We start from the raw sequence: 12,165 nt of genomic DNA, 5'->3' as shown, positions 1-12,165 counted from the left end.
TGACAAACACCCTTGTTCTTCTGTACCCATGCTAGAGCATTTGCTTTCGTCCAGTTGAGGATCAATCTACACCCATCATTTGAGGCTATAAACCAAAGCATACAACCCTTATGGCACCCCTTTCACCCAGTAGAATTTTCCAGGTAAAATCAAATTGAAATAGAGATAAAAGGGTGGCCTGGAAAGGGGAAAAAAACAAACACAATGCTTATTTGATTAGTCTGAAAAAAGTAATGCAGGATTGCCTGTGTAACTTTTGTGTTTTGTTTTTGAGACAGGGCCTGGCTATCTTGCCTAGGCTGGCCTTGAATTCCTGGGCTCAGCTGATCCTCCCACTTCAGCCTCTCAAGTATTATAGCTGGGATTACAGGTGTGCACCAGCTAATACTGACTGTTAAATGAAGGACAGGCAGGTGTAACCCTTTGCCTTTAGTTCTATAAGCACCTGATGACCATCTACTAGATGTCAGTCTACTGATCATTGTGGGTATAACTATGAATAAAATTTTCTTGAAGAAACAGACATATAAACAAAAATACTTTCAAACAGTGATCAAATTGAATGATAGAGTAAGGATATGGCTGACAGGAGAGTGGCAGTGGGGTTCTGTTGGAAGGTTCAAGGAAGGCTTCTTGCCAGAGATGGCACATAAGCAGTAAGTGCACTTGATGGATTTGAGAAAAACAACTGGAACAGCAATGGAGACTGGGAAGGCCAGGCAAGAGCCTGTTACAGTATCTCCAGTAAGGAGAGATGTGAGATTGGAAGTAGGAAAAAGGTGATGGATATGAAGGTTATGTGGTACCATCCACATGAGTTGGTGTTAGTTGTATGTAGATATATACAGGACAGAGTACAGCAGAGATTCCAGGTTTTATATCTTCATTGAATGGATAGACTGTCATGAATTTAAGAATATGTGGGGACTTCTGAACATTCTGTTTATTAGCCTAAGTATTGGTTAAATGGACCTTTTCACCCTCTAAAGATTCAAGCTGTGCACCTCTGATTCATACAGTTTATTAACATGTACTTAAGTTAAAAACTTAAATTTAAAAAAGGAGTAAAGAGTTCCAGAAAGAAGAGTTTCGATGAAGTTAGAGGCATTGGTGTGTGCTTGCGTGCATGTGTGTGTGTGTGTGTGTGTGTGTGTGTATGTGTGTGTGTGTACAGCATTTTGCTCCTTCTGAGCCTTAGGATGCCTTGCCCACTTTCCCCCTGAATTGCTATGCAGGTATTAATTACTGAGGATGGGTGAAGCCTGGGCCTTCCTTCACTATTTTTTACTGACTACTCTGCATAGCATAGTTATACTTCATGGGTTTCCTATCTTCCTTCAAAGATTATTTGATAAATGAAGGAATAACTCTAGAACTTGCCTAAGCGAGAGTGAACATCAGTGGCCAGATGATGTTAGCTTAGAGGATCAACATGCAAAAATCAAATGTGTTCCACTATGCCAACAAAAACTAATTCAAAATGTAATCAATGAAAATTACACAACTCATAATAAAAACAAACTGTAAGATGACTAGAAATAAATATTAAAAATAAGCACAAACTTTATGAAGAAAATTTTAAATAATAAGGATATGCTATAGACAATTAAAATTATACAATAAAATATGCGTATAGTTGAGAAATCTCAATGTCTTAAATTGTAAAAACCTTCCTGAATTAAATTTTAAATGTAATGTAATTTCAATAAAAATTCAGAGTATTTTTTGAACTCTGACAAATTGACTCTAAAATGAAGTATAATGATCTTGTTTTTAAACAAAGCAACACAAAAATTTAATTTTAATTGTTTCTTTGCTAATTTCACTTTTTTGAAATATAAGTAAACTTGTAGCAGCAGTGTTTACTAACTATAATGCTGAAGTAGCTTGTCTTCTTAAGCCTATATTTCCTCAAGGTGTGAAATGGAGGTGAAATGGTACCTACCACAAAAATTTGACAAAAAACTCATGTAAGATAACACCTCTAAAGTATTAATCAAATAAAGCTGTTAGGAAGTGCTTATTCAATATAAGCTATTATAATTGAATAAATAAAAGTATATTGACTCTTAAGCCTTTGCTCTTTTCGATAGAATGCAAATTTCTTCTATTTCATCAATAGTGTTGCACAAAATACACCAAACAAGTACATGTTTATTGGACTCAAATTATTATTAGCATAGACTTCCAATTCACTCATAAGACTAAACACACATTTAAGATCTCTTTCTCTCAGACCCTGTGTAGATAATTATTTTCTTCTTTTTTTTCAACTTTTATTTTTATTTTATTATTTTATTTTATTTTTTATTTTTGAGAAGGAGTCTTGCTCTGTTGCCCAGGCTGGAGCGCAGTGGCGCGATCTCAGCTCACTGCAACCTCCGCCTCGGGTTAAAGCGATTCTCCTGCCTCAGGCTCCTGAGTACCTGCAATTACAGGTGCCCGCCACCATGCCCAGCTAATTTTTTTGTATTTTTTAGTAGAGATGGAGTTTCACCATATTGGCCAGGCTGGTCTTGAACTCCTGACCTCATGATCCACCCACCTTGGCCTCCCAAAGTGCTGGGATTACAGGTGTGAGCCACCACAAGCAGCCTCAACTTTTATTTTAGAATTGGGGTACATGTGTGCAGGTTTGGTACAAAAGTATACTGCGTGATGCTGTGGTTGGGAGTACGAATGAATCTGTAGCCCAGGTAGCAGGCATAGTACCCAGTAGGTGGTTTTGCCCCCTCTTAAATTCTCCAGTGTCTATTGTTTTCATCTTCATGTCCATGTGTACTCAGTGTTTAGCTCCCACTTATAAATGATATTTGATTTTCTCTTTCTGTGATAGTTCGCTTAGGATAAGAGTCTCCAGCTGCATCCATGTTGCTGCAAAGGATATGATTTTTTAAAAATGTTTTATGACCGTGTAGTTCCATGGTGTGTATGTACCACATTTATTATAGCTAAGTTGACAAACTTCTATTTCCTCTTTCAAAACCATTTCAACTCACAGTTTCATCTTATTTTTGCTCTACTCATTATCACTAGACCTTTTTTCCCCCATTTTCTCTGCCTCATATCTTTTCTTTGTTCAGGTCTCTGTTTTTTCCATCAGTGGGAAATTCTTGATAATGAACTCTAGGTCTCTTTGTTTGTTGCTTTTTCTTGAGCAGTTTTCTTCTCTTCTTACCTCCACGTTCAGCCAAGCATTTTTACGTGCCGTTTTCTTATGTGTTTGTGAACAAATAATTGAAATTTGAAAGGTAAGTGCCACAGACCAAAAGAGCCACTCGAATTGCCTCCATCAGGTTTGAGGCAGTAGGCACTGACCTCTGGTTAGAAAATAGGGTTCCTAGAAGTGATGCTCAGGTTCCAATCACAAAGGATATTTTGCAAAAGCAAGAAAAGTTTTAGATTATTCTAAATAAAACTTAGACAATGTTAAAATGATATGAATTAACAAGTCCAAATGTGGCTGCCTCTTGCAGTTTGTAAGGCGCTGTCTGTACACATTGTTACTTTTAAGTACACTTAGACAATTTTGATTTATCCTCAGCAATTATCAATTATCACTTAACTAAATCAAACCCTTGGATTCCTTCCCAGACCTGAATTACAATTTCCTCTTATCTTTTTGTGAAGGCTAGGAGCCCCTGGACTATGCCATTGACAGTGGGACACCTAAGCTAGTTCAGGCTTTGCTAGGAAAATCCCCACCAGCTGTTCCACCTGATGCTGAGTTAATTGCCTTAATTAGCTTTCTTACAATAGCCTTCTTAATCAGTTCTTGTGAGGTGATCTTAAACTCGCATCATGATTCCTTTCTTACTACACACTGACCTTTTACAAATACCCATTCAGTCTTTTTGCACAACTGCTCTTGAAGTCTAAAATGAAGAACATAAAAAGCTAGGGAAAAATAAAACCCTCTGCTCTCTGTTTCTTCCGTATTCCTCCCCTGAAACTGTGACCCTTAACTTCTAATGAAGGCAGGTTATTTTGACTTTCTAAATTACCAACAGCTACATGGTACTCTTTTTTTCCCCCCATGGCTCACTTAGCCTTTCTAATGAATGCTTAATTAACATTGATACGTATTCTTTCTGATGAAACTTGCAGTTTTCAATTTTGCAGCCTGTTGTGATCCTCCCTGTAAAGAGGCTCGACTTTTAGTTATGAAATTTTACAACTTGTGGACACTGTTGAAAGAATAAAGCAAAGCAATTTAAAATTTAGCTCCTTTTGTAGGAATTTCATGCAGGCTCAGGTCTTGATGATGTCAAGGAGGATCATCTCTGTCACTCCCCTGTAATCTGTGACATTAATTTGTCATTTCTAGACAGTAATTAAATTAATTCAACAAGATTTGATTTTCATAAACAAATTAGCCTTGCTTTTGACCAATAACACCTTTTGCCCTATGTTAATATGCATGTTAATTGATATTGTGATTTATTCTAAATGTTCCTAAAATGCTTCAACAATATTTAAGTAATTGTGTATAAATATGCAAAGGTTCTCAAGTCTGGTGAGACAAAACACTAGCACAACACAGCAGGCACAGCACATTACTCACAGATAGACAGCAAGAATAAATAGAAACCTAAAGTCCATGGCAAGCTTGTCCCCCAAGTCTCAGGAAGGCTGCCCGGGGTGAGAAGTGTCTTGTCTGCGAATGCCCCACTTCACATTGTAGCTGGAGGACACTAGAGGCACTCTGCCCTGGGTTTTATAACCTTGGCACAACCTTGCACGGAGCACAAGCATTGTAGGACATCCTGTTCTAGGAAGAAAAAGGACATAGCCTGGAATGTTCCAGACATTTCCTCTTTATCTCAGGACATTTCATTATTGACTTATTCTACAATTATTCTGAGAGCTGCAATAGGCAGGGTGGGGAGAGCTGGGTTAGCCAGCGCTATCTGGAGACCTGTCTTCCTGCAAAATAATGTTAGCTTTTGTGTTTTGAGAATACGTATGTATGTTTGTTTGTGTTCAGTATTCAGTAATCTTAGGCTGTAGTAAAGTTTTCAATTTCTGTCACCATCAAACGGGTATAAAAGAGAAAAAGCATAATACATAATCCTGTTGTCAGCTAACAGGGAGAGCAAGGAGAGAGAGAGAAGCAGAAAGCATGCACTATGCGCTAAGTTATTTTATGGTTAAATAATTATACTGGTGTTAATTTCATGTGGTGACTTTGACTTCATTAACATATATCACATTTTATGGCTATTTTGTCAATTTCTGGATATCATAAAACTATTCACCAGTAGCTTGTCATAATCAATCTTCCTCTTCCTACCCCCCAGCCCATGAAAATGTTTAACTGGATATAGAGTATCTTAACTTTTTGAGTGATTTCTGGGGCAGAGGAGCTGAGGCTGTACAGAGGTGTGGGAAAGATTAGGAGGGAGCTATCTTATGTGGATAAAGTCGTGATGAATAAGTGTAGTATTGAGAGGTGAAGCCAGCTGGACTTCTGGGTTGGGTAGGGACTTGAAGAACTCTTCTGTGGCTAGCTAGAGGTTTGTAAAATGCCCGAATCAGCACTTTGTAAAAACGCACCCATCAGTGCTCTGTGGCTAGCTAGAAGTTTGTAAAGTGGACCAATCAGCACTCTGTAAAATGGACCAATCAACACTCTGTAAAATGGACCAATCAGCACTTTGTAAAAATGCACCAATCAGCGCTCTGTGGCTAGCTAGAGGTTTGTAAAATGGACCAATCAGCACTCTGTAAAATGGACCAATCAACACTCTGTAAAATGGACCAATCAGCAGGACATGGGCAGAGACAAATAAGGGAATAAAAGCTGGCCACCCCAGCCAGCAGCAGTAACCTGCTCGGGTCCGCTTCCAGCTGTGGAAGCTTTGTTCTTTTGGTCTTCACAATGTATCTTGCTGCTGCTCAATCTTTGCGTCTGTGCCACCTTTAAGAGCTGTAACACTCACTGTGAAAGTCCATGGCTTCATTCTTGAAGTCAGGGAGACCACGAACCCACCAGAAGGAATAACTCCAGACACAGTATGCTATGAGAAAGAGAGGTATGAACTGTAATAAATGTATAATGAAATACAAGGAAGATGGTACCAATTTGGGCTTCGTGACTCTGAATATTTCAGTATTGACTGAGCTTTGAACAAGTTCTAAGTAATTTATAGTACTGTTAAAAGCTAGAACCTTTATTCAAGGATTGATTAAATGATTATTTAAATGAAAAGGTGATTATTTAAACTTTAACATTAAAATAGGTATAAACCAATAGCATATGTTTTCTTAAATTTGCTTGGCATTCTACACAGGGCAAGAGTCAGCTTAACCATGGATGCATGTAAATAAAGGAAGAAACTAGAAACAAATGAAATAAAGTCATTGAGGAAGCAGTAAGGTCCTGATACTTTGCAACATTATTGTTATTAAACGTTATTTATTGTTTGTTATATATCAAGTTGGTCCACTCTGATTTCAAATTAAATTTCAAAAACTCAAGTGCTTATACTTATGGCAGAGATATTTATTTTTTTAAATGTCGAGTAATAATTGCTCTTTTACAGCATCACTTCTTTCTAAAGGAAGCAAAAATAAAATTCCTCTAAGAAAACAATGAATTGTTTTACCTATTGGAGTGACGTGAATGAGCTGTGTTAGCTTGTGTGTGGCATATGTAAGAGATGATTGCACTCCTACCTACCTTCTTTGCATGCCAGAATGTTAACTGCAATTGACATTTAGGGTGCCCCTTGGTTCAGTCATTGACAATAGTATTATAATACCTGTTGGGAAATTTCAATTTAGGATCTTACAAAGACTAAATGCATACTATTGAAGGCATTTTAATATAGTTTATTATACCACTAATTTAAGCATAATGAAATGCAATAAGCAATATAAAATATGCAATGCATTTCTGATATTCTAATTTCCTCTCCGTCTCTCTGAAATGGCTATAGTGCACTGTGTCTGCTGTGCTCCTGGTTTCCATTTTCTTTTTATTGTGTTGGTTCTGCTGATTCTCCTCCCTGTCTTCCAGAATGTTCCCAGGCTGATTACTACTTTGAGTAAGGGTCCCTGTTTTTTGTTTTTATTTTTGTTTTGAGACGGAGTCTGTCACCCAGGCTGGAGTGCAATGGCATGATCTCGGCTCATTGCAACCTCCACCTCCCAGGTTCAAGTGATTCTCCTGCCTCAGCCTCTCGAGTAGCTGGGATTACAGGCACCCGCCATCATGCCCGGCTAATTGTTGTATTTTTCTGTAGAGATGGGGTTTCACCATGTTGTCCAGGCTGGTCTTGAACTCCTGACCTCAGGTGATCCACCCGCCTCAGCCTCCCAAATTTTGGGCGATTACAGGCGTGAGCCACCGTGCCCGGCCGGGGTCCCTGTTTTTAATTGCAGAGAAACCTAAGCTTGCCTTCAGTAGTTACTCAGAGTTCAGGTCTTTTTTAAAGATTCTTCACCTGTAGATGAAGAAGAGTTGCATTATGCCTTCCACTGATTAGAGATCAAAGATGAATTCTCTTTGTTTTTGTGGGGCAGATATTCTTTGACTATTTGACAACAGACTCTGAAGTTACATGTATGTGACTGCTGCCCTGAGTATTTTATTGAGCACTGCTTTGTTAGATTTGCCTGGGAAACTCTCCCCCATGTTTGGGTGAGAGAGAGATGGGGTGAAATTTTTCCACCTTGACTACAGCAGGAAGAGTCAGCTCTCAACTGGGGACAGAATCAACAGGATTTTTCATAGGCAGAGACATTGACTGTGTAATATCTGAGATATAACATGGAGTGGCCTTCTTATTTGTGACTACTAGGATCTTTCTTTCCCCACTCACAGTCTGGCATGCTATACATGTATCAATGTTTCAGGACTTTTTTCCTCAAACTGTCTTTGAGAACCTATTACTCTTACATGAGATTATTTGTTTAGACTTGGTTATCAGGTTTTTCAGCCCATGCCATTATTCTTTGCTGTCAGATTGCTTACTGTCAGAGCAGAAACAAGAGCTTAAAGTTTATTGCAGTTGCAACAAATTTAGGTAGGGTTAGCCACTCTTACATTCTTTTGCAGATCTTGACAAAAAGTGGTTGGGCTTTAATTATACAGAAAATTTCATCTATGTGTAACACCACCTTCTCTGGTAATATAAATAAGTGAGTTTCCTGCCATCTGTAGTACTTTTAAATTACGTGTAGTTTACCGAAAGTAACCTTTAGTTGATTCATTAAGCTATACCCATTGTTGAAAATTTATATTATCAACCAGAATTGTCTTTCCAGAAATACCCCTAAGGAACTCCATGGCCTGTTTCAACAAACAGTCATTGTTTAAGGGGGATCTCACCAGACTAGATGTGTCATTTCAATTTAAATATTTTCAGTGCTGCAGGTCACCAAAAGCTGGGACTGACATCTGCTTCTCTACCTATAGGTCTCCGTGCATCTTATTTTCACTGGCCTGTTTGCTCTTGTTCAAAGTAACTGTGAAGTCTCAGACATTGCAGGCATCTGAACTTGTTTTTCTACCTACCAAGCTTCCACTTTATAAAAAAAGTATTTTCTCTGTTTTAAGGACCTTAATTAAAAGGGATCTAAGTAGCTGAGGGATTACTATAGGATCCCCCTTATGAAAACAGAATAAGTCAAGTTATATGGGTTCAAATCTTAAAATAATGAAATTTCCTGCCCTTGGAGGATTAGATAATCTCACACATCAGATAGCTCAATGAAGAGATGAAAATCTTTTAAGAAGTATATAAATTCCTTTATACCTCTTCTGGAGTTGCAGACTGATGTTGTCCAGCATCCCCAGCTACTGTTTCTGCTGTGACACATATGACAGATGACATTCATATACTCAACACACTCCCATAGGCGTACCCAGATTTTGAAAAAACACCACAACATTTATAGTAAAGTCAAGCACTGCAATAATTCATAGTCAACATAATTATTAAAGTGGCATCAGTATCTGTTACTCCCTGTGGGCACCTCAGAAAGGCTGGATGTTAAGCATAAATAATTAATTTCATGCTAGCTGTACCTCCACCCCTATTTTCTGTCAGTCTGGAAAGAGCATGAAATTCCAATGAGTGATAATGACATAATTAAAGATACAATTTTGTATAATTCAAAATTGAATATAATTCTAAATTATATTTATTTTTTAAATTTCCAGACTTTAATATTTGATGATAAGTAGGGAATGACTTTCAGCCACATACCTCACAACCCATTAAGTCAAATGACCATTGATTTGGAGCCTTATGAACTGGGACTGGGGATACAAATCTGCCATATAATCCTGGGTGTTAACAGCAAACTCTTGGAGCCTCAGTATTGGCATCTACTAAAACTGAGATTAAAGGCCTTGACATCATTGAAGATTAAATGAGATATTTATTATACATATTTATTTTTATTAAATATGCTGATGTTTATACATTATTTGGTGCTTCACGATGGCACATTCACACCCTGTGTGTGTGCTTTTATTTGATAATCTTGGGACCTCTGTGAGGTACACATGGCAAGTATTCATTACTTGGTAGATAAAAGAACAAACTAAGGCTATGGCACTAAATTATTTGTCTAAGACCTACCTTTTTCCTATTCCAGTTTGAGTATACCCAAACAGTCCTTATCTCTAGCACTTATGCTTTTTATTTTTTAAAATCTCCATTGTGTAGTAACATATGCTCTCATAAACTAACATTCCTAAGGAGTTTCAGAGAATTTTTAGAACATCAGAAGTTATTACTATCTTCCTGTAATATACACTATTAAAATGAATCACTATGGAGGTAGAGGAAATAATTTATAATAGGGGATTAGATTTGAAGTCAGAAGAAGAAAAGATATAGGAATACATATACATTTTTATATGTAGAGAAAGGCTAATAATTAAGACTCAGAGGAATCACTCCCAGGGCCAGTTTTGACACTTTTATAAATGGTCTAGATGAGGGAATTCACACTAAAATATCTACTAAAAGCAGACTCTGATAAATTATTGACCTGACTTACTGTGCTGACAGTTTCATCTTTCCTAAGGTAGAAGATGTTTTGGGGGAATTGTAACTTTGGGCTTAATTCTAATCTCAAAGGAAAGCTAGCTAGAGATGTGGTAGGGAAACCCACAGAGACATATCTTAATTTTAGGTTTCTGCCAAGCCACCAAATCTGGTGGAGAAGATGAAAACATGGGTTGGGTTATAGTAAAAGAGGTATAACAATCCAAATAATATTAACTTACAAATTCACTTGAACCTGGAAAGAGGTCTCAAAGTATTTAACCTTAACAAGGCATGACCCTGCTCAAGATTTTTATCTGTTATTAACTGTGTCATAGAAGTAACTTTTCCATTATAAATAATAATGTGACAAGAGGTGAATATCAATAATGCATTAATGAGAATGAAGACTTAAAACAATGCTGACAGGCTAAACTCTTGGGCCAACATCAAGATGATTAAGTTGCAAGTCCTGATGATAGTTTTCGTTGTTGTTTAAATGACACCTCATGATGGTGGGGATGTTGCTAATGAGCTGATAAATTAGTTTAATCCTCCTGGAGGGAAATAAGGAAATAAACAACTGAAGCTCCAAAATATTCATAACCTCTAAACTTGCTACTCTATCAGAGAGAATTAGTCTAAGAAAATAATCAGGAACATATCTATTGACAGAAAAAAAAAAAAAAAAAACATGAATAGTCAGTCAGTCAAATTGTACCCCTGCCACAAGGCAATACTATACATCCATTAAAAATATGTTGTATTTACCTATTTATATGAGAATATATCAATGATAAAGCAGTTAAAAAGACTGTGGAAGAATATTATATACTTTATTTTTACAAAATAAATGTTATGCTTATGTAGATATGCAAAGACATGAAAAGAAATGTGTGAAGGGCTATCCAGGAGTATGTCTGTGGTTTCTCTGGTTAATAATTTTAGGAATAAAATTTTCTTCTTTATGTTTATTTATGTCTTCTAATTTTCCATAACATACATGTATTAATTTTATGATAAAAATATTATCCTGAAAATATAAGATTAAGGGGCGTGCCATTTAAAATGAAAACATTTTTCTGGTTATTTGGAGGACAGAAATTTCCACAGTGTGATACAGTAGCTAATAAAAAAGACTGTAACTTAGGTTGCATAAATAACAATAGAGTTTTAACAGCGGCGGGGGGGCTATGAGGGATGGAGGGATGTCACAGAGCTATAAACCCACAGGGTCCTGTGATCCTGCATTACAGGAACTACGTTTCAATAACAACTGCAGCAATATGTATCATTCATGGGGTGGCAACTTGTCATATAAAGAAAAGTTGCAGTAACTCAAGATGTTTTTCCCACAGAATTGACAAATTAGGGATCTAGGTACGATGAGCCAGGCTAACTGTGTTCAAGTACCTGAGGGATAACAGAATGAAAGAAATTCTGATTATCTCTAAACAAAACCTTAAATAAAACACTTGAGTAAATGGGCAGAAGATACAGAGAATAAAATATTCAGAAGGATTTCCTAATGTTTGGAAAACTGTGTGGCAGGCTAGAGTAGAAATAATTTCATTCCCCATCTTAGGCCTGTCGTTTTGGTTCCTCTCTGATGCAAGTGATTGAAAATCCTGCTCAAAACTATGTAAATCTAAAAGGAGATGTAGTGGCTGAGAAGTGGTGGGCTTAATCAAGCTTTAGTTTTGCAGAAGCTACATGCAGGGCTCTGATGATGCCCACAAAATTCACTTCCCCTCCTTTCTTGTGGTTTCATTCTGACAGCAGCTTGGTTTCATGATAGCCAGATGGCTACAGCCCTCTAGATTTCCCACCCTGTATCTCACGTCTAAGGAAAAACCTCCCTTATAAACGGTATAATGAAAATTCCAAACCTGATTTGCCTTACCCATAATTAGCTTCCTTTCCCACTCCTGAGGCAATTACTGTGGTCAGCTGGGTATGGGATAGTTGTTTCATTACAAAAGTCAGTCAGGGCCTACCCTTCCCCCAATTGAAAATAGGGTCAAACTCAGGCAAATTGCCTGGGCTGACAGTGTGGACAGGTTGTTTCTGAAAGATAATTCAGGCTAGTCTTCTATCTGGAAAAAAGACGTCTAGACAATGGGTTGCAAAAATGACAGACGTCTATTAAAACTAGGATGAA

This window comes from Homo sapiens, chromosome 3 (genome assembly GCF_000001405.40).
Source record: "Homo sapiens chromosome 3, GRCh38.p14 Primary Assembly".
NCBI classification, from domain to species: Eukaryota; Metazoa; Chordata; class Mammalia; order Primates; family Hominidae; genus Homo; species Homo sapiens.
Note: the sequence above shows the minus strand (reverse complement) of the source record.